Raw genomic sequence first — 27,683 nt, 5'->3', positions numbered from 1 at the left:
ATGATGATACCCTTTGAACATCCATAGTCTCTTCAAATTTACTATAGATAAACTCAGTAAATCCTAACGGATTTTAAGGTATTATGCCGGGTATTACAAGTGCTTACTTGTTCACTCACTGTTTCTTGATGTCATCCTGGGCTGCCTTATAAATGTTGCTATACAGTGGAACTTATAAAGCCCTTGATTGCCTTTCCTGTCAGAATCTGATATTTTCAGAGAACTCAGCAAAGAACCTTTCGGTTCAAATCTGAGTCACAGCCCCAAAATAAAATAAATAAATAAATAAGTAATTTTTTTTAAAGAAAATAACCTTATCAAATTGCTTCACTGGATAGATGAGGAAATCAAGGTCAAGACATTAAGGCAACTTCCCCAGTTATTTAATAGAACAGGTTTCCCTCTGCACTTTTCATCCCACTTTGGTTTTCTTTTTCATTATCATGAAGCTATGTAAACGAGCCCACAACAAGAAACAAAAAGACACGAAAGTTCATTCTTCATTTTATTTGCATGTCCCAACAACTCATCTCAAATACTAAATTCAAAAGAAAAACTGTAGTTCTCCTCAGCATTAGCACTAATTTATGGTAACAATCATTTCTTTTAAATGTCTAACTTATTTAACCCCTTCATTTTAAATTGCAAATTAAAGCATGTATTTACATATTTATATACAAAAAACTTCAAAAACAAATTAATCCAAATCTTGGTCCAAGAGTTTCCACTTTATAAGTGGTATGGTACTATGCTATATATATCCTCTTCCAAAAGTCTCTTAGGACTTGGTAAGTTCCAAATATTCATTCACAAATGGTTCCCCTTTAAGCTTAATGAACCATATACTTCATTTCTGAGTAAATTAGAGGAAATATTACAGAACACGCTTTGTACAATACAGCACCACTACTGAGAAGGGCTCGAGGTTTTGTAATCCAAGGTTCTGACTTAAAGCAAAAATACACGGCATAGATTGCAACAGCAAAGAAGTGTCCAATTAAAACTAGAGGGTTAGGAGACAATCTGTAATAGAAAAAAATACATATTGGTAAGACTCAGAAACTAAAATTTACTCCAAAGGTTCCAATTACATATAATCTACGAAGCTCAACAAACATCCTACTTTTTTTTACCCAAGCATCATAATTCTGTATGAAACATTCTACATTTTAGAGGACGTCACAAATATGTCTGCATGTTAAGTTTGATGGCAGGAGCAAACCCCCCACCCCCCTTTTTTTTTTTTTAAGAAAAAATACTTAGAATATATCCCTTTCAGAAAAGCTAGTAACTCCTGTAACTCTAGTTTACATAAGTCATATATTTTTAGCTGTTTGTTTACTCATCCTGAGACACCACGCTGAAATATCTAGATGGCCTGGTCTGTTGGGATGTAGGGCTTTTAAAAATATCAGTATTAACATTCAGATTATAGATTATGAGAAATGACTCAAAGGATCACTTTGCAAATGAGAAATAACTCGATAGATTTCACTTTGTAGACTTTCCAAGAATAGTTCCACATATGTCTGTACGCTCAAAACTAATACTGGGTTGTATAAGTCCCCGTACTTCAATGAAACTAATTCTTAAATTAAAATTTCTCAATTATTCCTGGCTCCCACAGACCAGAACATATGGATAAATCCATAGGCAAAAAACAAGCTTCTATTTTAATCAAGGGTTATAGCTTCCTCTACCACCACCTTTAACTGCTGTTCCCTAGAAAGAAAACAGTACTAAATATTGCGTTTCTTCATTTCTTTGGGCCACCTTCTCATTGGGATACTAACAGATAATAAAATATCAAAATGTGTAAGGAAGAAAGATTTGCAGTAATTCATCAACTGAACAGTCCTAAGAAAATCTGGCAGGTTTGTATCCTCTGTGCCATCACAACTTACACAGAAAGCAGCCCAACAGGACCCGCAACACATTCGCCACCAAGTTTGAAATAAAGAAAACAGGCTTTTCTTAGTTGATGCAGGGAATCTAAAATAAAATTGTAAAATAATCAAATATGTGTACACACTTATGTAGGATGCTAATGATATATCAGAAAAAATGAGAAATAACAAACGCTACATCTTGCAGATAATTTTTAAATATCTAGTCCTAGAATTTCAACAACCAGGATTTCTTCTGAATTCCATAATCAGCATTATGGAGAGTAATATAAATATGAATAAACTTTTTTCTGTTAGTAAATAACTACTAATATTTAGGTCTTGGAAGAGTTGTTTAAAAGGTACTTCCTTGATTTTGCTGTTAATTCATTAAGTGATGCAAAATACTTTGGAAGCTCTTTTTAACACAATTCTAGAAACCAAATTCCCAGTCTCTAAGATGTCCAACCAGTATCTCTAACTAAGCAGTAAATTATCAAGTGAAGAGAGCTGTGAGTAGCGATAAATAATAATTCCTTATATCTATAAAGTTTTTAATACCTTTCAAAGTAACTCATAAAACCCTCACAATGTAGTGTAATCAATTGATAACCTTTTTAACCATTTAGAATCAATGTTCTGTTCAGGTATGCCCAGATTTTTCTTTACAACAGATTTTAAAAAGTAAAGGATGCAACAGGTAAACTTTTGCTCCAATAAAGGTCTTTCCTCCTCCAATCTTGTAACTTTTAAAAAATGTTGTTTTGTTGGTAGATTTAAATTCATAATGTTAAGAACTCAAGAAGTTAGAAAAGCTTAGAAAGAAGAGCTCAGAAAAACTCTTAAATTTAGTTCTTTTTATTTGCCCAAAACTCTAAACTTAGTTCTTTTTATTTGCCCAAAACTCTAAACTTAGTTACTTTCATTTGCCCAACCAGCCATTTTAACTTCTATGCCAATTTAGCAAGAGAAATTTGTTTGGAAAAATCATAACCAGTGAGATTGGTGGGGTTTTTGTTTTGTTTTTTTTCCTTAGGAAGAGTTAATGGTTATAGAGGCTACAGAAAGCATTTTTATTGTATCATCTTTTGTAATTATAACCACAGCACTTATCACTAGGGCCTCAGCCAGATCATACAAATAGCTATGTTGCAAATATACTAGAGTAGTGGCATATGAGTCAGTATTTATTCTTGAAAACTGAAAAGCCTAGTTTCATTAACCTACTATTAAACTGATGTGTACACTGCTGTGGTGAGGAGGTGGCACAGTTGCCTTTTCTCCTCCATTTCTTTTAATTTTTTGTTTGTTTGTTTTAGAAGATGAAGTCTCACTCTGTTGCCCAGGCTGAGTGCAGTGGCACTTCATATAGCTCACTATATATAGCTCACTGTAGTGAGCTATATAGTCCCAAATAGCTGGGACTACAGGCACACGCCACCATGCCTTGCTGATCTTTTAATTTTTTGTAGAGATGGGGTCTTGCTTTATTGTCCAGGTTGGTGTGAAACTCCTGGCTTTAAGCGATCCTCCTGCCTTGGCCTCCTGAAGTGCTGGGATTACAGGCATGAATCATTTCGCCTGGCCTCTTTTCCTCCATTTCTAACACTGCTTCTGCTAAGTTGTGTTTTCTCTAATATATACATTGACCGTGACCTCTGTATAATATGGAAACAGTAACAAAAGCACCAAAATAATCCAAATAAGTAAAGGGTGAATGCATTGTTACTTGTGCTTTTCAACAGGGACAAGATTAACAGCTTGTATTCATTTTATAAAATACTACTTTAAAAAGAAATTGAAACTAGTGTTAGGAAGAAAAAGACTACATTGCCTTTTAATACATGGCCAAAAACACCTTCCATCACAGTCTTGTGTGTGTGAGGACAAGCATGATCTAGTCTGCACCAGAGGAATTCAAAATAATGAATATGTTACTGAGGCATTGCTATTAATGTTGTCTAAGGAAATTCCACTACCTTCCAAACTAAAACTAAAACTACAACTATTGCTCAAAATGGAATTTTAAAAAACTACCAACTTGGGAGTTAGCAAACTCAGGTAACATTTTTATTTCTGGACAAATCACTAACTTGTTTATTCCTTTCCTACGCTAAAAATCTGCAATTGAGTAATATTCACTAAAAAGTGTCTACACTTACCATCTGTGGCAGAAAATAATTCATAAAGAGCCTGAGCAAGGATATTCACGACAAAGGAATGAGATGTTTTTCTTGCCCAGTAAAATGATTTTTTGGCCTAAAAAAGAAATAGCTCATTTATTATATGGTAAGGATAAAAAAGCACAAACTGATGTTTATAATCCCCTCAAACTGATACTTATCCTTCTAAGGACTATCTGCAAGTAATATTGCCTTATGTTTATCATTTACAAAAAAAATAAAAAATCACCTTCAGAGCAATGGGTTATATGACACTGAAGCTAAATTTACAACCACTATGAGCTAAGTGGCCCATAGCAATCAAGTGTTACATAATATTCAAATTTAGAAATTCTCTAAGATTCACAGGTTGCAAGTCAGGTTCTTTAAGCCTAAGCAAGATGCCTAAGAGCTATTATAAAGCATCAGGTTCCTTAGTACAGATCTCCCCATCAGAGCCCCACTGCTCTTAACCCCCAGAAATAAATCCATTTTGAGACATTTTTGTCAAAATAATTGATCTTACCTCGAAAATAGCTGCATCATCATAAAGGTCAGGGATACCCTTTAGCAGTTTTCTCCATAGTTTTATATCTTTAAAAGCAACAGTCATTCCTCCACCAGTAAGTGGATGCCTCATATTATATGCGTCTCCCAAAAGAAGAACACCTATGAAGAGAGGTAATGAAGATTTTATTTTAGAGCATCCCTTGAGACAAAACAAAAAGGATAACTCAATGTATAAAGATTACTGATGTAAGCTAATAATAAGAAAAATGTGAAAATACATGAAAACAAATCATGATTAAAATTTGCTGAGGCAAAAATTCAAGAGTTGTTTGAATCAATGTTGGGTACCTAATAGGTGGCCAGGCACTGGGGATATGGTAATAACAAGAGTGTGGCCTCTGCCCTCATGAAGCTCATATACAAACCTAATGACAAGTCCAATAATGTCAATACATTTGTAAGGCCTCCTTAAAATATGAAGAAAATAAAAAGAATCTACAGGTATCCAGGTATACAAAGCAAGTCCTCTGGCGATCATCCCCCTCCCACACAGGAAAGCACCTTCATAAGAACCAAAAGTCAGCCTGGGTACCAGCTTGGCCAGTGAGACAGAGCACCAAGTGGGTTCCTGGGGTCCCTGATTCTAGGTCTTGGCACCTGGACAGCATTTTTGGATCCGTCCTGGGTGAGAGGGGAGCCCATTGTACTGAAGGGAGAGACCCAGGTCTGGCAGCATTCACCACCAGCTGACTGAAGAGCCCTGGAGCCTTGAGTGAACACCAGCAGCAGCCAGGCAGTACTCACTGCAGGCCTGGAGCACTGGTGGCCATGGGGAGAGGCTCCTTCTGCTTGAGGAAAGGAGAGGGAAGAGTGGGAAGGAATATGTCTTAAGGTTTGGGTGCCAGCTCAGCTGCAGTAGAATAGAGCACCAAGTAGATTCCTAAGTTTCCCAACTCCAGGCCCTGGCTCCCAGACAGCATTTCTGGACCAGTCCTGGGCCCCCAGGAGCTCACTGCCCTCAAGGGAAGGGCACAAGCCTGGCTGGATTTGTGCTGACTGTAGAGCTCTTGAGTCTTGAGGGAACATCAGCGGTGACCAGGCAGTCATCACCACAAGCCTTTCACCAATACCCAGTGCTGTACTGGCTTCAGGTCTGACTCAGCACACGCCAGTCATGGTGGCCACAGGCATACCTGTGTCACCCGTCCCCCACAGCTCCAGGCAGCTCAACAAAGAAGGACAGACTCTGTTTGGGGGAAAGTAAGGGAAGAGAACCAAGAGTTCTTTTCCTGATAATCCAGGGAATTCTCCCAGATATTACCCAAGACCACCAAGGCGGTACCTCTACAAGTCTGCAAGGGTCACAATGTTACTGGACTTGGGGTGCCCCTTAATACAGATACGGCTGCTATGACCAAAGACTTAGATCACAACACTCACTTCCCTTTGAATACTTCAAAAGCGTTCCCAAGAAAGATGGGTACAAACAAGCCCAGACTCCGAAGACCACAATAAATACCTAACTCATCAATGCCCAGACATTGGTGAACATCCACAGTCATCAAAACCATCCAGGAAAACATGAACTCACTAAATTAACAATAATAAATAAGGCACCAGTGACCAATCCCAGAGTAACAGAGATGTGAGCTTTCAGAGAATTCAAAATAGCTGTTTTGGAGAAGCTCAACAAAATTCAAGACAACACAGAGAAGGAACTCAGAATGCTATCAGGTAAGTTTAACAAAACAACTGAAATAATTTAAAAGAATCAAGCAGAAATTCTGGAGATAAAAAATTCAATTAACTTACTGAAGAACATGGCAGAATCTCAACAGTAGAACTGATCAAGCAGAAGAAAGAATTAGTAAGCTTGAAAACAGGCTATTTGAAAATACACAGAGGAGACAAAAGAAAAAAGAATAATCAAGAATGAGGCACACCTACAAGATCTAGAAAATAATTTCAAAAGAGCAAATCTAAGTTCTTGGCCTTTAAAAGGAGATAGAAAGATGAGGGTAGAAAGTTTATTTGAAGAAAAAATAACAGAGAACTTCCCAAATCTAGAGAAAGATATCAATATTCAAGCACAAGAAAGCTACAGAACACCAAGCAAGGATTGGTGATTGATTTAATCCAAACAAGACTAGTTCAAGCCATTTAATAATCAAACTCCCAAAGGTCAAGGATATAGAAAAGATCCTAAGAGCAACAAGAGAAAGGAAACAACAAACAATGGAGCTCTAGTATGTCTGGCAGTAGACTTAGTGGAAATCTTACAGGCCAGGAGAGAGGGGCAAGACACACTGAAAGTGCTGAAGGAAAAGAACTTTTATGCTACAATAGTATATCCAGTGAAAATATCCTTCAAACATGAAGGAGAAATAAAGACTTTCCCAGACAAACAAAAGCCGAGGGACTTCATCAACACCAAACTTTCCCACAAGAAATGCCGAAGTGAGTTCTTCAATCTAAAAGAAAAGGACCTTAACGAGCAGTAAGCAATTACATGAAGGTACAAAACTCACAAAAGTTAAAAAGCAAGGAGGATAAAGTGTAGAGTTTTTATTAGTTTTCTCTGCTCGTTTGTGGAATCAGTTGTCATCAGTTTAAAATAATCGGTTATAAGATATGACCTGCAAGCTTCCTGGTAATTTCAAATCAAAAGCCTACAAGAGGTAGGCAAAAAAATTAAAAGCAAGAAATTAAAACATACTACCAGAGAAAATTACCTTCACAGAAAGGAAACAGGACGGAAGAAAAGACAGCAAAACAATCAGAAAACAAAAACAAAATGGCAATAGTACGCACTTACCAATAATAACATTCAATGTAGATGGACTAAACTCCACTCGAAAGGCGTAAGTGGCTGAATGGATTTAAAAAAAGAACCAACGATCTGCTGCCTAAAATAAACACACTTCACCTATAAAGCCACAAAGAGACTGAAAATGAAGGGATGGAAAAAGATATTCCATGCAAATGGAAACCAAAAAAGAGCATAGTGATATTTACATCAGTAAAATAGATTTCAAGACAAAAACTATAAAAAGAGGCAAAGAAGGTCATTAGATAATGATAAAGGGGTCAATTCAGCAAGAGGATGTAACAATTACATATGCACCCAATACCGGAGCACTCAGATATATAAAGGAAATATTATTAGAGCTAAGGAGACAGACCCCAATACAATCATGGCTGGAGACTTCAACACCCCACCTTCAGCACTGAATAGATCATCCAGACAGATAAACAACAAACATCAGACTTAATCTGGACTACAGGCCAAACAGACCTAACAAATATTCACAGAACATTTCATCCAACAACTGCAGAATACACATTCTTCTCCTCAGCAAATCGATCATTCACAAGGATAGATCATGGGTAGGCCACAAAACAAGGCTTAAAAAATTCAAAAAACAATTGAAATCATATCAAGTATCTTCTCTGACCACAGTGGAATAAAACTAGAAATCAGTACTATGAGGAACTTTGGAGACTGTGTATACAAACACATGGAAATTAAACCACATGCTCTTGAATGACCAGTGGGTCAATGAAGAAATTAAGAAGTAAATATAAAAATTTCTTGATAGAAATAAAAATGCAAAGACAATATATAAAACCTGTGAGACACAGCAAAAGCAATACTTAAAGGGAAAGTTTTTAGCAGTAAGTGCCTACATCAAAAAAGCAGGAAAACATCAAATAAACAACCTAACAGTGCATCTCAACCAGAAAAGCAAGAGCAAACCAAACCCCAAATTAGTAGAAAATAATAAAGATCAGAGCCAAAATAAATGAAATGAAAAAAATACAAAAGATAACAAAATGAAAAGTTGGTTCTTTGAAAAGATAAAATCAGCAAACCTTTAAGACAAACTAAGAAAAAAGAAAGAAAACCCAATTAACTCCTTTTCCTGTTCCTATGTCAGCAAATGGCTGGCAAAACTATCTAAGCCAGAAACCTGGAATTTACATCAAGAGATTTCACTCTCATTATAATATCCAAATCATCACGTTTTTTACATTCTACATCCTAGATATTACCCAAATTTATTCATTACCTTTCATTTTACAACCCTAGTTCTGGCCTTTTATCATCATTGACAGAATAATTAATCTTAGTGTATGTTTTACTAGACTTTCCTCCAAACCATCCTCCACAAAAATGTCAGAGTATATTCCTGAAATAAAAGTCTAATCATGCCACTGCCTCTTTAAGAAAATTCCATTTACAAAAGTATCAAAAAAGGTAAAATACTTAGGAATAAATTTAACAAAAGAAATGCAAAACTTATACTCTGAAAACTACAAAATATTGTTGAAAGAAACCCTTACCTTTCAGTCAAGGGAATTTTGACCACAAGGGCAAGAAAATTCACTGGGGAACAAACAGTCTTTTCAACAAATGATACTGGGACAACTGAATATCCACACACAAACAAATCAAGCTGGACCCCTTCCTCTCAACAGACACAAAATTTAACTCAAAATGGATCAAAGAGCTAAATTTAAGAGGTAAAACTATAAAACTCTTAGAAGAAAATATAGGAGTAACAGGCCAGGCATGGTGGCTCATGCCTGTAATCCCAGGACTTTGGGAGGCTGAGGTGGGTGGATCACCTGAGGTCAGGAGTTTGAGACCAGCCTGGCCAACATGGCGAAACCCCGTCTCTACTAAAAATACAAAAATTAGCTGGGCACGGTGGCGAGCACCTATAATCCCAGCTACTCGGGAGGCTGAGGCAGGAGAATTGCTTGAACCTGGGAGGCCGAGGTTGCAATGAGCCGAGATCGCACCATCGCACTCCAGCCTAGGCGACAAGAGCGAAACTCCATCTCAAAAAAAAAAAAAGAAAAAGAAAACATAGGAGTAAATCTTTTTGAACTTAGATTGGACAAAGCCTTCCTAAATATGACATCAAAAGCACAAGCAACGAAAGAAAAAATAAACATGAAAATTTAAACCATGTGTACTTCAATGGAAACCATTAAGAAGAATGGAAAGAAAACCCACAGAATGAGAAAAATTTTGCAAATCACATATCTAATAAGGGACTTGTACCTAAAATATATAAAGGACTCTTGAAACTCAACAATACATAAATTTTAAATCTGCCCAATTAAAAAAATATGCAAAGTCTAAATATACATTTCTCCAAACAACAAATGGCCTATATGCATATGAAAAGATGTTCAACATCATTATCTATGAGAGAAATGCAAATCAGCACAATGATAAAAGGCCTAGTTCACACTACTAGGATGGCTATGCACACAAAGATAATACAAGTGTTCACTGACAAGGATGTGGAGAAATTAGAACTCACACACTGCTGAAAGGAATGTAACTGGGACAGCTATTTTGGAAAACAAGTCTAGCAGCTCCTCAAAAAGTTAAACGTGAACTACTATGTAATCCAGCAATATCACTCTTGGGTATATAACCAAGAAAAATGAAAATATATGTCCACACAAAAACTCGCACACAGATGTTCATAGCAGCATTGCTTGTAATAACCAAAAAGTAGAAACAACCCAAATATCTATCAATTGATGAATGGCTAAACAAAATGTAATATAGCCACACAATGGAAGATTATTTGGCCATAAAAACAAATGAAGAACTGAAACATGCTACAACATGAATGAACCTCAAAAACATTGTGCTAAATGAAAAGCCAGTTCCAAAGGGCTTTACTATACAATGCCTTTAGGAAACATCCCAAATAGACAAATCTAGACACAGAAAGTAAATTAGGGGTAGCCTAGGGCTGAGTGTTGGGAGGAAATGGGGAGTGAATACCAATGGGTACGGGGTTTCTTTGGGCAAGATAAAAATGTTCTAAATTTGATTGTGGTGGTGATGCACACACTGTGAATATACTAAAAAAGTCACTGTACTGTACACTTTAAATGGGCAAACTGATTTGTGAATTATATATCAATAAAGTTAGTAACAAGAAAACACTTCAAATGACTTTCCATTGTCTGTAAGATTAAATGTTAATGGTCTGTCTCCCACTCTGACACCCACCCTATGCTCCTGCCATAGGAAACTGCTTGAGTTCCTTGAAAGTGCCACCATTTCTCATCCTTTGGCAATGTTATTCCATCTACCTAGAAGTTCCTCATCTTAGTGTCCACCTCATGAACTCCCACTCATCCTCCAGGTCCAAGGTCCTTTGTTTCCACTGTTTCCTGAACAACGTCCTCCCTAACTACCCCTCCCATTTCACAAGCTTCCCTCCCTGCTCTGCACACTTCTTGACACTGAATCTGTGGGTTTTATTTATCAACAGTGTTGTAAAATTATCTGTCTACATTCCTAAGTAGAAAATTGCCTTCTCTAGGTCAAGGTCAGTTTTTTACCTGTTGTTTCCCTGACTAGCACAATACTTGTATACACTCAATGTTAACAACTAAATAGATCATAAAACTAATTTTGGTATTAATAATGCACTAATCCACAGTGACAAACTATCTGTCCCAGAAGTTATTCGTAACAGTATAAATTTAATCATATATTTGTCATTTGGAATACTGATTCCTTTATAAAATAAGCCCAAAAAATAATACCTCGTTTCTTCACTGATGAAGGAGGAAGGAAGCTTGCTGGCATGGACCTCAGATGAGAATTGTCAGTGGCTTCTAAGAATGGTTCTTTCAGGTGATCTGCAATAAATCCCACCAACCCAAAGAAATGGGTCATAACACTTCAATTTCAAAGTATCACATATTTTCTTATCAAGTATAAACAAATGCCTACTATACATCTGTTATGGTTGTTACATATATCCCTTGTGATAAATCAAGAACTAATTATTTCATTAATAAAATTATTCATTAAGCACTTAGCTGTTAATGCCAAGGAATGACTAAGGAATCTAAGAGAACATTAATATAAACATACATACAACTGAATGAAAAAACAATGAGGCAAATTCAGATGAAATGAAACAGGGAGAAAACCACCTACCTTTCTTCCAAATGTTAACAGACTACTGTCATATTTAATATTTAATGTATTATAATCAATATATTCTTGTAATAATCAGATGAAATACACTACCAATTCACAAACAGCAGGAGGGTATGTACACTAGAAAAGGAATTCGAGGCCAGCCCTACCTCTCTGAGCTTCAATTTCTTCATCTATAAAAATGAAATGGTTTGATCAGCTCATCTCTGAGATACTTCCAAACAAGCTTTAAATTTCTGTGCTACTTATATAGAAAATGAACTGTCATACAATTCCCAGTGTGATCTGGGAATAGAGGAGCAGAAGCCTCTGTTAAAAATTATTCCATTCATATTAAGGAGTAGAATTTTGGTAATCTAACTAATATTAATATAAACCTACCAATGGTTTCTCTCCATAATTTCAGGGCACTCTACTCCAATTAACCTCTGGATTGGAAAAAAGAAAAAAAAAAGAAAAACCACCACATTTACAATAAAAGAAAAATAAATGCTAAAAATATCAGGTAATGGATGACCCTTTTCATAAATATTCATAATTTCCCCATCTGAAAGCTTCAAAAGTGGCTTAACTAAATGAAAATTTATTGAAATGTTTCCATGTACATGTTGAAAATGTCATTATTTAAAATCTAAGTTTGCCCACTTCATTTCACTTCATTTCTGTTAATAATTTGTTACTAAAGTGGTTTCACTTAGTTTAAAAAATAACTTGAAAAAAACGGAATATTTAAACAAAATGTACTCATACCAAAAATAGTTTCCTATTACTCTAATCATATCATAATTGACAATGAGGGTTTCCCTTCAATTTTATCAAAATTCTTAAATTTTTTTTACTTTTCTTTCCTATATCATCCCATTCTCAAAAAAAGATCCTAAAAACTGTACCATGAAAACTTTAGATTTGTGAAAAAGTAATTTTTATTAATGTTTTTACAAAGCTATCTAAATCTCATGAAGCCTTTATATTCAACTCAAAACTAACATGATCCTGAAGATCCCTTACAATTCTCACATTCTGCGGACAGGACATGTCTGTTCAAACAGGCACATATGAGCCAGACAGACCTGATATCAACCCTGGTTCTGCCATTACTAATAGTTTATACTTGGAGGAGCTAACTAATCTCTCTGAACCTTAGTTCTCCCATCTGTAAAATGAGAATAATGATAATGCCTACCTCACAGAGTGGTTACATAGATTAAATGAAATTATGTTTGCTAAACACTTTATAGTAAGCATTCAAGAAATGGTAGCTGTCATTACTACAAAAACCAAGCACAAAAATATTTAGGTATAAGAGATAAAGAATTCAGAGTCAGATTCGTGTCCAGAGACTACCTTTAAAAATACCATATATGCCAATAAAAACAATTATTCTAAAAACTATGCTATTATGTGACAAAAACATATCAAAACTTTTTTTTTTTTTTGAGACGGAGTTTCGCTCTTGTTGCCCAGGCTGGAGTGCAATGGCACGATCTCGGCTCACTACAACCTCTGCCTCCCGTTCAAGCGATTCTTCTGCCTCAGCCTCCTGAGTAGCTGGGATTACAGGCATGCACCACCACACTCGGCTAATTTTGTATTTTTAGTAGAGACGGGGTTTCTCCATGTTGGTCAGGCTGGTCTTGAACTCCCAACCTCAGGTGATCTGCCCACCTCAGCCTCCCAAAGTGGTGGGATTACAGGCATGACCTACTGTGCCCGGCCCGAAACTTTTTTTTATTAATTTGGGAGTTTGTTTTGCTGTTTTTAAGTGCTAGTTTAAATAGTTCAGTTCCAGAATATCTGGTTGACTGGATGAATGTTTCACCTGCCATCCTTATCTCTGGCCTATTTTAGACACAGCCTTTGTAAGAACTGAAGATGCTATTTCTTACCAGGTATTTGTGGGTAAATTTTTTCAACCATGTATTCTCTTAAATTCCTTGGCATTTCTCCTCTAATGTCAACAAGTACTCGAGTTTCACTGGATGAAATCTGGTAGATGAGAACTGGACTCGGGTTAGCTAAAATAAGTTCAGCATGATTTGCTTTAAACTGTGGTGCATTCTAAAACAAATAAAAAGAAAATGTTTTAATAATTTTCAAATTTCAAGTTTCTTTTATTGAAATTACAATAACACACTCCTACAGTACCTTCATAAGAAAGCCAACAAAATGAGATGATACAGAAACTTTATTGGAGACCAGGCTTTTCCTGAACTTGGAGAAAAGCCCATCTGCAACAACAGTCAGTGGAGCATGGAGTTCCTATAACAGAAATGAAGACTACTCAGTTTAGTAGTCAGAAACACACAGTAAAAAAAGCCATTCTTAAAAAATGTGCGTGAAGAGATTTAGATATATTATCAGATAGCATTATAGAGAGTAGTTGAAGATAATACTATTGAAGAAACTGTTACGTGGGCTTCAGATAACGCATGACCAGTGTTTAGATACTTCCTCTGAGTCCCTGAGGATCATCTCCCTTTGTAGCCCTCCCATGCAAACCATCTGGGATTACTCTCCACTTTGACAGACAATGGGGGAAACAACTACAAGGCAGGCATGTAACACAGAGCAGTCAATCTCATTACAAATTCAAGGGACTAGCCAGATTCTTTCATTCTAAAATTTCCTAACTTCATATAGTGCTTTTAGTCAGCAGCTAGGGCTTAGAAGAATTTTTGTACAAATGACTACATGTATTTATAATACTACAGTATGAGCAGAGAAAACATTCCAGTCACCTTCATTAGAGGACAATTTCTAAGAGGTGGTAACCCTATGGGGAGCAGTCCAGAATTACATGTTTTTTACTACGATAATTTTTTTTTAAAAAAAGGAAAAATTGGCCGGGTGCGGTGGCTCACGCCTGTAATCCCAGCACTTTGGGAGGCTGAGGTGGGCAGATCACCTGAGGCTGGAAGTTCAAGAGCAGCCTGACCAACATGGAGAAACCCCGTCTCTATTAAAAATACAAAATTAGCCGGATGCGGTGAAGCATGCCTGTAATCCCAGCTACTCAGGAGGCTGAGGCAGGAGAATCGCTTGAACCTGGGAGGTGGAGGTTGCAGTGAGCCGAGATCGCACCATTGCACTCCAGCCTGGGCAACAAGAGTGAAACTCCGTCTCAAAAAATAAAACAAAATAAAATAAAATAAAATAAAAGGATAAATTGTTTTTAAAAAGATTCTCTTACTATTACCTGAGTTAAATTGCTCATTTTATCTGAATCATTTCTTTTATGTTGAATCTTGCCTTCTTTCCCCTGCTAGTTCCCCTCTGCTTCTCTGCTGATGTATATTACTGTTTCAAAAACTATTCACATTAGTTCTGTTTAAAATGTTTTTTGCATAGCATTCTGAAGTCCTCTAAAGAACAATGTGTTGCAATCTGAAACCCATCCTGTTGCATATGGCTTAGAAAGAACTCAGTTCATTTGATAAATAACACAGGCTGAGTATCTCTAATCCAAAAATCTGAAATCCAAAACTTTTTGAGCAGTAATGTGACAAACAAAATACTCATTAGATCATTTCAAATTTCAGATTTTCAGATTAGAGATGCTCAACTGGTAAGTATAATGCAAACATCTGAAAAAAATAAAAAATCTGAAACACTTCTGATCCCTAGCATTTCAGATAAGAGATACTCAACATGTAAACCGGTAAGCCTACTTTTTTAAAGGGGTAAGTGAAAAAGCAGGAAAAACAACATCTCTTAGGAAGAGGTGACATTTGGTATTTCTCACCTTGATATCTCCAGTCTCTTTATCCTTGTACTGAACTCCCATCACAACATCATCTTCCTCTAATAACTGTAACACAACACCTTCAATAAACTTTGCACTAAAGAATAAAAAAAAATACATTTCTAAAGCAGCACATTTCAGCAATTTAAATTAAATATAAATTCCTTATCTCCAGTTTATCCATATAAACTGGACATGCATGTGTGTGCAAACACGTGTCCAATGTGTGTTTTTTATTTTCTAATTTATCAACATTTAATACATATTACTAATGATTACATTAGTAATCATTAGTAATCATTAAATATTTTAAAAATATTTTAAAAAGTAACATTGGATTTTCATCTTAATTTGTTAAAAATAAATTAATTTGTTAAAAAATAAAATATAGGCAGAGAAACTTTACATACCCTCATACATTCATACACAGAGGGGAAAACAAGTATTGGAATGCATCCTGCAAACTGTTAAGAGTAATTATTTCTGGCAGGGCACGGTGGCTCACACCTGTAATCCCAGAACTTTGGGAGGCCAAGGTGGGCGGATCACAAGGTCAGGAGATCAAGGCCATCCTGGCCAACATGGTGAAACCCCGTCTCTACTAAAAATACAAAAATTTGCCAGGCGTGGTGGCATGTGCCTGTAATCCCAGCTACTCGGGAGGCTGAGGCAGGAGAATTGCTTGAACTCGGGAGGCAGAGGTTGCAGTGAGCCGAGATTGCAACACTGCCCTCCAGCCCGGGTGACAGAGCGAGACTCAGTCTCAAAAAAAAGAAAGAGTAATTATTTCTAGTCAGAAAGATCACAGGTAATTTTTATAATCTTTATATTTGGGACTATTTTTCCATTTTCTTTTTTTTTTTTTTTGAGACCAAGTCTCGCTCTGTCGCCCAGGCTGGAGTGCAGTGGCGCTATCTCGGCTCACTGCAACCTCCACCTCCTGGGTTCAAGCAATTCTCCTGCCTTAGCCTCCCAAGTAGCTGGGACTGCAGGTGCGTGCTACCACGCCTGGCTAATTTTTTCTTATTTTTAGTAGAGACGGGGTTTCACCATATTGGCCAGGCTGGTTTTGAACTCCTGACCTCGTGATCTGCCCACCTCAGCCTCCCAAAGTGCTGGGATTACAGGCATGAGCCACCGCACCTGGCCGATTTTTCCATTTTCATACAGTGAACATACTCTTCTTCCATGGATATCAAGTCTTTTTAGTCCAAAGGATTAAGTCCACTTGCTTCTTCACTTGCTTTGTCAATACTTTAGTCTGTGTCAGTCACATGAGGGTTCTCACGCTTAAAACTTCTTCAATTAGTGTTTTAAAGGTTACTGGTAAATATAAGTTAATAAACAAGAGAAGAAGCCAGTCCTAACAGACTGGGTCTTTAGTGAGAATGAAACAGGGATTTCTCCTTGCAGTTTTGTATCCTGACTTCTAATAGAAAGTATCGTAACCACAAACTCAAACTCCAAAATGTGCACAAATGGACTTATGCCTTAGTTACAAATATATCCTCTAAATTCCCGTCACATAAAAATTATGTAATTTTCATTTAGTCAAAGGAGAACTCTTCATAGTTCCATGTCAAAGGAAAATTCTCTATATGATATTCTTAACAAAAGCACTGAATATCTAACACTCTTTTGACTGACAGTTTATTTTAATATACATATGTTCTAGACTATGCCCCAAAAATTCATTAAAATTTATAAAATCTTATTTGTACAAAGGTCAAATTTAAATGCATTGATTCTTTAGTAATTATATATTTGAAACTGTGGTCTTACTTGGGCTCTGCCATAGCTGCTTTCCGGAGACTCATGATGAATCTTCCGTGATGGAAAGCTCTTCCACTCTGCACTTGATTGTTTTCTGACAGAGGGTAAGGAATCTGAACCTCTGATTTGCTTTCCTGATCATGAATCATGTAACCATTTACAACCTGGGCATCAAGACCTTCCACTGTATCTGCAAAGCAATCGAGTTCAAAACAATCAATTCTGTTAACACACCCAGCGTTAAACTAAGAACCAAAGAAGACACACACACATCAAAAATGAGTCTCTGCCTTCAAATCTGGAGAACTGAACAAAACTAATGTAACTATTTCAGAAACTGTGAATGCTTCTGGAAGTCAATGAGAGTCTTAGCAAATCTGTAATATCATTTAAAGATAACAACATAACTATTTCAGGTCTGTAATTCCACTTCAACTTCAGAAAGAAAATGCAACATGAAATAAACCATAATCCTCTCCTGAGTAAACCTGTTCTGCCATAAAGACATAGGAACACATTTAGTCCTTCTTAACACTTCTTTCAATGTATGAATATGTAGATTTGTCACCAAAAAGAAATAAAAATAAAATAAAACCAGTATGGAAACTCAAAAAAAAACCCCAATTTATATATAATGACTGAATATATGAAAAAGTAGATTTTCCAAACCAAATGGAAAGGGTAGAGTTATCCCCCAACTGTTGATGATTACATACTATCCATTAAAAGTGACTCAGGACAAACTGCAAAGAACTTTTTAGTACATCAAATAATTTAAATGGCAGCAAACAAAACACTGAATTCATCAGAATCATGTAAAAACTTCTTTCTTAAATCTAAAGCAGCAAAAGCAGTTGAAAAATAAAAAACTTTCAATAGAAAATATCACATTTTTAAAGTGCCAACCGAAAATTAGAAAGTTAAAAAATTAATTTTAAAAATAAAAACTAAAACAATACTTTGGGAAAGACATATGAAATAGAACAAAAGATTAATACATGTATATATAATAAAATTTACTCATTAAAAACCACTGGAAAAATATTAAGACGCCAATAGTAATGGACAAAAACATGTATGGATGATTCATATAAAGCAATATAGAAACAGTGAACAAATCAGAAAAAATGTTCAAACGATAAAAAAAATTAAGTAAAAATTGAAACAACAGGACACCATCAAAATCACTGATGAGATTATGATAAAACTGATAAATTCATATACTACTGGTGATACTATGAACTAATATTATATTTTAGAAAATATAACAATAATTATCAAGAACCATGAAGAAATTAGCATCCTTCGATGTAATAATCTTACTCTTGGAAATCCATGTAAGAAATTCATCCTAAAGACATAATATTTAATAATCTTTAAAGTTACATGCAAGAATAGGTTCACTATAGTGTTACCTAAAAAAGGATAACTGAAAATAACCTAAACATTCATCTAAGTTTGAAAAGTGAAGTACATTATGAAGTCAACTGAAAAACAACTATGCTTGGGCTTAAAAAGATACTGATAAAGAATGGTTAACAGTATTGGAAATATGTTTCTGTCAAGTGAAAAAGTGGACTCTAGTATATATATTAGTGACATAAAATGTTCAAATATGGTATTGACTGGATGTCTGTGTCCTCCCAAAATTCCTAAGCTAAAACTCTAATCCCCAATGTGATGATATTTGGAGATGGAGCCTTTAGAAGGTGATTAGGTCATGAGGGTAGACTCTCACGATAGGATTAGTGCCCTTGGAAAAAAAGACAGGGGAGGGCTTGCTTCTTTGTGTCTCTCCCACCTTCCCCACCCCACCCCACCCCACCACCCCATCCCCACACAAAGTAGACAGTGCATAAATATTTCCTAAATGAATAGCCAGTGCTTAAAAAGCACTGGTTGAATGGATGAATGGTGCTTAAATAAAAGATTCTAAGTAATAACACTGTAACAAGTATACAACATACCCTCTACAAATGACAGTTCCCTTCGCCTTTCACAAAATTTAATGCCCTCATTCTAGGATTTTCCAGTCCTTAATTTTGACCATTACAATCTTTTGGCCATTTTATTATATCTCATTAAGTCTAATTCACATCTAATCATACTATTAAATGCTTATTTTATCCTTTGCTCTCACTTTCATGCAAATTTGTTGGTAAATGAGTATAGAAAATTTTATAAATGAAAATAAAATGGAATACCTTCTTACTGGTCATAGGATGGTCTAAGTGAAGAGTGCTTGTTCATACCACGTAACTCTCCTGAAAATCAATATGAACCTACCTCCAAGACCAAGGTCTTTGAGAACATGATAACCACCCGGCTGCAGGAATTCTCCAACTATTCTGTCAGGCTCTTTTAAGTCTCTCTCAATGACTGTCACCTTTCTTCCATCTCTGGAAAGCACAGCTGCCAAAGCAGAGCCAAGCACGCCAGCTCCCACGATGATAACTTCTGGGTCATTCTGAGAAGATGTTGATGTACAGGCAGCTGTTCCTATTAAGCTTGTTTCTGAAATATTGGTTCCTTTTCTGCGCTGTTTAAAAAAAAAAAGGTAAACTAGGTATCCAAATTTGTTAGATTCAAATCATGCTACCGCTATGTGGACACACTGGACTTTTGCATCCTAGGCTAAAGCTAGATACTAAATATTATCAAACCAAACAAATTGTTACATTTTAAAATCTAGATAATATATAAAAATCAATGATATCAAAATATTCGTTAAATAAAAGTGTGTCATATTATCCCAATAAAATTAAATATTTATTGTTTTCTAAACATGATATTTGGAAAATGTTATACAGACATATTTAGAAATCCACACTGGGCCGAATATAATAAATGTTTATAAGGGGCTTCAAAGACTTATTATAGGGCAAACTGTATCATTAATAACTAAATTCTTCAAATATATCCTGGGAATCGACAAGATGCAAATCACTTACAACTTCTGATTTGAGTTCATGTTACAAACTATTCGGCACCTTTTAGACATTTTCTTTTTTTTGTTTGTTTTTTTGTTTGTTTGTTTGAGACTGAGTTTCACTCTTGTTGCCCAGGCTGGAGTGCAATGGCGCAATCTCGGATCACTGCAACGTCCGCCTCCTGGATTCAAGCAATTCTCTGGCCTCAGCCTCCCGAGTGGCTGGGATTATAGGCATGTGCAACCATGCCCGGCTAATTTTGTATTTTTAGTAGAGACTGGGCTTCTCCATGTTGGTCAGGCTGGTCTTGAACTCCCGACCTCAGGTGATCCTCCTGCCTCAGCCTCCCAAAGTGCTGGGATTACAGGCGTGAGCCACTGCGTGCGGCCTTAGATATTTTCATTATTCATCTTTATTTTCTCTTTCTGGATTTTCATTTGAAAAATCTATGTTAATTTAATATCACTTTTATATGACAAAAGGATTGTCAAATCCTGCCTACCAATCTATTAATTGAAGATTATCTAAATAAACAAAATTACAAGAGAAGAAATAACTCATACCGACTCTTAGATTTGACTTGTTTACAATTTTGGTCCTTAACATATAAGCACATATTTAATTTATCCCTCCTTTTTCCCCATCCTGATACTCTAAGAGATCCTAGTCAAAGAGGTGGTCCCCAAAAAAGGAACAAGGAAAAACATTAAACCTGTCACTGGCTGAACTGACAGCAAAACTTTAACTTTGATCATAAAAAGATGCAAAGTCTTGTTTTGAGAGATTTATGACCACTAAGAACAACAGTGCACAGTGGCTTTTTAAAATGAACAATTCAATTTTGTAGTATTTCTTCTTGGTAGATGGATTCACACATTTGAATACATTTCAGATACAGAATTGCAAGGAACCACCTTCCTTGAGTTCTTTGACCTTAATGATTAAGATAAGACTAAATGCCATTTGAAGGGGTTTTTAAAAAATAATCAAGCAAAAAGGAAGACGAAGCCTAAAATCCTTTAGAACTTTACTCTGTGATTCTAATATCCACCCAGCATTCTTTTACCTCTATAGTGGACTGGGAATTTGTCTATTCTTTTTTTTTTTTTAATTTCTCTCAGAAAAATACTTTTCTGTCCTTTTACTATGGGAAGATCTCAATATTCTACTCTTCCCATTAGTATGTCTTAATGGCCAGAACTGACTATATTTAAATTACTGTAGGGGGCAAGACAAGCCCCTTTTGTCATCTTAACCAAAAATGTGCTTCTTCATAAGTTTTTCCTGTTTTATATACACACACACACACACACACACACACACACACACACACACCCTGAAAGGAGAGCTCTGGAGGAAAACAGGCCTTGCAGAGCCTGATCAGTAGAGTAAGCACTAATGGGAACTTAGTAGTCAATAGATCACAATCTAACAACTCCCTGGTTCACAAAAAAATAAAGAGAAAGCCTGGGGCGTTCACAAAATGGAACCAATATTGATTGCTGGTAACCCAATTTTCCTACTCCAAAATTTCTCTACACAGCATGAAAACAGGAACAGCATTCCAGCCACCTGAACTAGAGCTCAGTGACCTTAAGGGAAATTATTTCAGACCACAATACAAAAAAGTTCAAATTAAACATTAAGGATTCTCTCTCCCTCCTTTCCCATTCCTCAAACCCATGCACCATGTCACTGAACTCAGCGCTACTCATAAAGCTCACCCTAAGAGATGTATATTACCCCTAGGCTAATATTAACAGCTACTATTATCAGGCGGTTATAGACTAGGTATTAACTACCAGCAAGGGTGGTGCCATTCCCGTCTAATGGAAGAGGTAACAGATTCTCACAGAAATTAAGCAATTTGCCAAAGATCTCACATCCAGAAATGGTGGCGCAAAAATTTAAAAAGCAAGTGGGCGTTTACTGCTATAGTCTCTTGCCTGATAGCCCTGCTTCCATTCTTGTACGCCTACAACCCATTCTCCATACAGCAACTGCAATGTTCTTTTTAAAAGGTAAAAGTCAGGCCAGGCGCCGTGGCTCACGTCTGTAATCTCAGCACTTTGGGAGGCTGAGGCAGGCGGATCACTTAAGGTCAGGAGTTCGAGACCAGCCTGGCCAACATGGTGAAACCCTGTCTCCACAAAAATACAAAAAAAAAAAATTAGCCAGGAGTGGTGGCGTGCACCTGTAATCCCAGCTCCTTGGGAAGCTGAGTGAGGCACGAGAATCGCTTGAACCAGGGAGGCGGAGGTTGCAGTGAGCCGAGATCACGCCACTGCATTCCAGCCCGGGCGACAGAGCGAGACTTTGTCTCAAAAAACAAAAATTTTTTAAAAAGTAAACACCGAATAAAGTTACTCCCATACTTAAAATCCTCCAGTGTTCTTGGGAGAACTCTTGGGAAAAAGCCCGAACACTCATTGCCAACATGCCCTAAATGATCTGGCCTAAACTCTTCCCCCTCATCTTCTCCCAGTGGCCGCCTCTGCTCCCTTTGCAGGAATCCCAACTACACCCTTATTTGAAGACCTGGCCTTTATGTTAGGACATTACTACAAGCATTTACTCAATGCTCCAATATTCGGGGGAGGAGAACTTTGAGCCCAATGCCTCAAAATGTTGAGCATTCTCCTTCTGCCTGCTTTTCAAACTGTTCTGTCACTTTCCCCAGTCAGCTGTCACTTCTTACAAGCAGTGGACTTACCCGCAGCACGTTTCTTTCTTCCTCAGGCACAAATCCAATCCTTACCCAAGAACTTTTTAAAAACTTTTTCATCATGGAAAGTGGTTGTTCTTCTCCTTCAAAATGAAATTCTAACATTTCGTTCCATCTTTCATAATCAAATATCCAACCTCCATCTGAGGCTCAACCAATGCTAAATGAAACAAATGTCTTCACTCATTCTTAAGAAGGTCAAAGATGTAACCAAGGCACAGCAGAGTTTAAAATAAAAAATACATGAGAATGTATACAAGCATCTAACCTGCCGCCTTTTGCAATTCAAATAAAACTTATATTTGAGTGAACCCAATCCTACTCCTAAATAAGACATTCATCTGCCCGCTTTGAAATCAACCTACCCTCCTGGCCTCGAGCTGCTCCTTATTTTCTGATTCAGGGGGGGATTTGGCCCAGAAGAAGCCAATGAAAGGCAGGCCTGAGAGAATATCCGAGAAGAGGGCGAACTGGGAGCCGCTCTGCTGGCGCCCGAGGAGACCCCCGTTTCGGTGGCGACAGCGGTAGGAGAGCACCAGGCCCAGCGAGAGGAACACCAGCACGCACAACAGGACCTCCCTGTTGGCCAAAGTGATGAAGTCCCCGAACTTCTTATAAAAATAGGTGAAAGTGGCAATGCCCAGAAAAGTCCACATGGTTCCAAGGCTTCTTTGGTGGCACCGGTCAAGGCGGAGATTATCTGCTCGAGTGGGTTTAAGGTTCTCCCCAAAATGAGGTACCAAGAGGAGCACGGAGAGCCGGCCAGACTCCAGTAAACAGTGTCCCAGGACGAGAAGTCCGATCAGACCAGTTTTTAAAAATCATATAAAGTTAGTGTAAAAGTATGTGAAGCCAAGTTGTATAGGGCGTAGAAAGCAGTATTTAAAAATCGCCTGCTGGAACAGCTCCCGAGCAGACTCGCTCCTCCTCGCCCAGGAAATCCAGATATTCCCTTTTTTTCTTTTTTGATGGTGTTCCCTGAGCGGTTGCTGCGGGTGATGGATACTCTTCTGATACTGGCTCTTCGTGCTATAATTTCTTTTCTCACCAAGAGCAGGTGCCCTTTCAGAAGGGAATGGGAGTGGAGGGAGGGTCACAGAAACACCTCGGCACTGGGGGAAACGTGGCCTAGCCTCTGGCGACGGCGAGCAGCGGCCGGAAGGCACGGGGGCTGCGGGCCGGCGCGGGTTCAGAGGCTTCTTTTTCCGCGGACGGAGACACTGTACAGCCCAACCTCGGGAAAACGCCAACGCCGACGCCTTCTCCAACAAAAGATGGCCTCGGACTCAAGAGTGCGGCTCCAGGGCAATGCAGCCCCAACCTAAAGATTTAGAGGCCTCCCGTTTCGCTGGCCCCCAGAGCCGCCCACCGCGACTGCACTTCCCCACCGATAAAAGGTGGTTTCCAGGGTACCTCCCTCAGATGGCGGCGGCGGCTCCCGACGGCTTCCTCACCAGCATCCCTCGCGGGCGGCGGCTCTCGCCAGCGCGGCGCGGCCCCAGTAACCAGAGTAACCGTCGCACGCCCCCACTCGCCGCCAGGCTCCACGCGTCTCAGCCAGCTGGGCGGGCTCGGCCCAGACGAGGGACCGGGGGCGGGGCTCAGGCGCGAGTCCGCCCATACCGCGCGCCCCGCGTGCTGCCCCGCCCCCTACCCCTGCTCCTGCCGCCGCCGGCCAATGAGGGCGCGCACCGCGCGGTAGGCCGAGATGGCGCTATGCCGCGTTTGGCCAATCGGAGGCGGCGCAACCTGCGCGGCGACGCCCCGAAAGGCGCTAGGGCGATGTTGCGTGGTGCGGGTTGGGGCGTGGGGATGGGCGCGGGCCGGCTCCGGCGTGGGTGGGGCCAGGGGTCGCCTAGGAGGCGCTCTGGGGCCGGGATCGGCGTCGGGGTCGGGGTTGGGGTTGGTTCACCGCAGCAGCCCCAGCTCCTGCGCCCTCCCTGGACTGAGGTGTGCTCGCTTTGAGGAGAAGCCTGGAGTGATCCGCTGCCTCGGGTCGGAACGTTTCCATTCATTCCGCTAGCATTTATTGAGCGCTTATGATATGTCAGTCCCCGGAGTCCGAAAGAGGAATCAGACACAGCTTCCCTGCCCTGTGTATGTGGAGAGGGCGGAAGGGAGGGCCATGAGTGCGTGGAGAGCCTGACATTCCAGCTGAAGCTGGAAGAATGAGTAGGCTTTTGCCTTAAGAAGAAAAGGAGAGGACGCTCCAGGTGCTCAGGCTAGAGATACACGGATGCGCCCAGCCCGTTCTCTCAAGACCAGAAACGTTGGGGGTGGGGGCTCGGAGGCAAAGAAGTCAAATAGTCGTGTCATAGGTGTCCTGAGAAGGGGGTGGTTAGAGAGGGAGCCATGGAAACCCAAGAGGTGGTCCTTCCCTTGGCCTGGAGAAGTCTGGTGAGGCGCCCAGGGGGAGGTTACACGGTGTCCAGGACAAGCAGTCCGAGGGAGCAAAAGTGTGCAAAAGTCTCGGAGTGAGACAGCCCTTATTCTACTACGATGAAACTTACCTAAAATTTATTGAGGCTTAAGACCTCAGTGTCTTTGCTCATCCTGTTTCTTAACTCTGGACTTCCTTCTTTAACCCCTATGATAATAGGTGCAAATCCCTTCTGCCTTTTGGAGCGTGGCTGCATTGTCACCTCTTCCACCAAATCGCCATTGACCTTCACCAAGTCACATAACTTTATTCATACTTTTTAATCTCTAGATTCCCTAAAGATCTGTGTCTGATAAGATCACCCACAGCACCTAGCACAATGCTCTGCCCTTAATTTATCCTCCATAACATGTATTTAATGAATGATGAACGACACTGGCGCATAAAAGCAAGACTAGGCAACTAGAGTTAGGAGACCCAGATTCTGGCTACCGCTAACCAGACTGTGACCTTTTACAGATGTTACAAGTCACTCTGCCTCTGTGGGGAGAAGGCAACTTCTTCATGAACTCGAACATCCTTTGCAATTCTGTATCAGATACTTGGCAGGGTTTAAAAAAACATGGCACCTCTTATAACTTTTCACCCCCAATATTATGTTTTATCTGCTAATAAAATAATTATTTGGTAAAACACCCGCACAGGCGTTCACTTGACCCTCAAAACAACTTTGATTTTTAAAATGAGGAAAATGAAAATTAAAGAGGTTAAATGGCTTGACTAAATCACAGCTGTGATTAAATCGTAATGATGAAACCAAAAGTCAAAGTCCTGGTCTCCAAATCTTGTGGTTCCCCAGTATGCATAATTATCAATAACTGCCTTGCTTTCCAATACTTTTATTCTTTCTTCTACAATATTCCTCACTGTTACCAGTAAGTTTGGCTGTCTGAACTGACATCAAATTTAAAAGGACTGCAGAAAAGAGAATCAGTTCAATGTATGGGAAATCATTTCCTGAAGAGAATTCTTCAATAAACTGCTTATTGGTATCTGTGAGTTCTGTTTTGTTAAAATAATAGAGGAGCAGCTGACTCTTTTATTATTTTTAAATTTTTGTGACAGAGTCTCGCTCTGTGGCCCAGGCTGGAGTGCAGTGGCGCAATCTCAGCTCACTGCAACCTCTGCCTCCTAGCTTCAAGCGATTCTCAAGCCTCAGCCTCCCGGGTAGCTGGGACTAGAGGCACGTGCCACCATGCCGGCTAATTTTTGTATTTTTAGTAGAGACAGTGTTTCACCATGTTGGCGAGGCTGGTCTCAAACTCCTGACCTCAAGTGATCCTCCCGCCTGAGCCTTCCAAAGTGCTAGGATTACAGGCATGAACCACCAAGCCCGGCCAACTGACTCTTACAGATGGGAATACAGTTATCACCAGGATGGCTGTTACCTGCTAACTCTGTACTCAAGATTATCATAAAAGGAATTTTTCTTATTAAGTAGATAATTTTTTAATCTCTGGAAAGCGACTTTCTTCATATGTTTTTATCTTCACAAAGTCATTCTTACAATGTCAGGTCTGAATCCTTTAGGCAGTTCAAGATCCACTTCTGAATTTGGGGCAAAAAGAGCACTTGTAATACCTACCGCAGAGCACACTCTGAATGCCTATATCTTCTGAACTGAATTAAATGTTATATAAGCATTGCTTAAGTATTTTTGAATCTTGCCATGGTTCATTTATTCAAAAACAAATCTGTCATTGAGACCTGAAGGGAAAGCAATGAAATGTGAGACAAAATCAGCTGCTTACTGGCAGAAAGCCATAATGCTATCAAGTAGGTACATGAGAAATACTTTCGTACAAGAGCTCACACATATAGTACGGGTAGCATTCTAAATACTTTTCATATATTAGCTCGTTTTGGCTTCCTGACAACACTTTTAGGGAGATACTACTTTTTTTTTTTTTTTTTTTTTTTGGAGATGGAGTCTCGCTCTTTCACCCAGGCTGGAATGCCGTGGCCTGATCTCGGCTCACTGCAACCTCCGCCTCCCGGGGATCAAGCGATTCTCCTGCCTCAGCCTCCCGAGTAGCTGGGACTACAGGCGCAGGCTGCTACGCCCGGCTAATTTTTGTATTTTAGTAGAGATGGGGTTTCACTGTGTTGGCCAGGCTGGTCTCCAACTCCTGAGCTGAGGCAATCCGCCCGCCTCGGCCTCCCCAAGTGCCAGGATTACAGGCGTGAGCCACCACACCCAGCTAAGATACTATTTTTTTAGCCCCATTTTACAGACAAGAAAACTCATGCACAGGGAAGTGATCACAGCTAGTGACTAGCAGAGTCTGAATCCAAGCCCAGAAAATGTATGTGAGGAATTTAGGAATGTGTGACTTGATTTTTCTCCCCACACAAAGACCTAGTTATCTTGAAACAAACAAGCACATCTGATCTCTTTTTTGCTTAAGCTTTTGAGTTTTCACTGTTAGCCTAGTTTGGCACACCAGGCTAGATTTGTGTTTTAAGTGCCATTCTCAATGCAAGAAAAAGTCCCGCCCAGCTTTCCTCAACTACCCATGCTTTGAGA

The 27,683-nt window shown here is 38.8% G+C and overlaps 1 protein-coding gene and 1 long non-coding RNA gene across 3 annotated transcripts, besides 3 other annotated features; one reads left to right on the top strand and one right to left on the bottom strand.

Annotated features, from left to right (window-relative positions):
- SQLE (squalene epoxidase) lies at positions 493-24,271 on the bottom strand. Of its 2 annotated transcripts, none has more exons than XM_011517246.3 (11): positions 22,705-24,271; positions 19,348-19,600; positions 17,071-17,251; positions 15,289-15,385; positions 13,692-13,805; positions 13,433-13,604; positions 11,144-11,239; positions 4,575-4,717; positions 4,049-4,145; positions 1,905-1,992; positions 493-1,023 (listed from the first exon to the last, which is right to left on the bottom strand). In XM_011517246.3, the coding sequence occupies exons 1-11, from the start codon at positions 22,819-22,821 to the stop codon at positions 831-833; spliced, it is 1,551 nt and encodes a 516-aa protein (XP_011515548.1). In that variant the 5' UTR covers positions 22,822-24,271; the 3' UTR covers positions 493-830. The 2 variants fall into 2 exon arrangements, with proteins under 2 accessions (XP_011515548.1, NP_003120.2); NM_003129.4 differs by having other exon boundaries at positions 23,082-24,271.
- Positions 23,911-23,960: an enhancer, noted in NCBI's record as "active region_27898". NCBI's record gives its function as "activates an Ori minimal core promoter by ATAC-STARR-seq in GM12878 lymphoblastoid cells {active_cell/tissue: GM12878}" and the evidence as "EXISTENCE:reporter gene assay evidence [ECO:0000049][PMID:35858748]".
- Positions 24,171-24,670: a silencer, noted in NCBI's record as "silent region_19516". NCBI's record gives its function as "represses an Ori minimal core promoter by ATAC-STARR-seq in GM12878 lymphoblastoid cells {active_cell/tissue: GM12878}" and the evidence as "EXISTENCE:reporter gene assay evidence [ECO:0000049][PMID:35858748]".
- On the top strand, positions 24,578-25,788 carry SQLE-DT (SQLE divergent transcript). The gene is made up of 2 exons (NR_134457.1): positions 24,578-24,813; positions 25,616-25,788. It is a non-coding gene; the product is annotated as an SQLE divergent transcript (long non-coding RNA).
- Positions 24,891-24,950: an enhancer, noted in NCBI's record as "active region_27897". NCBI's record gives its function as "activates an Ori minimal core promoter by ATAC-STARR-seq in GM12878 lymphoblastoid cells {active_cell/tissue: GM12878}" and the evidence as "EXISTENCE:reporter gene assay evidence [ECO:0000049][PMID:35858748]".
- Positions 25,789-27,683: the final 1,895 nt, after the last annotated feature.

This window comes from Homo sapiens, chromosome 8, assembly GCF_000001405.40.
Source record: "Homo sapiens chromosome 8, GRCh38.p14 Primary Assembly".
Lineage (NCBI taxonomy): Eukaryota > Metazoa > Chordata > Mammalia > Primates > Hominidae > Homo > Homo sapiens.
This window is presented reverse-complemented; position numbering and strand designations above follow the sequence as displayed.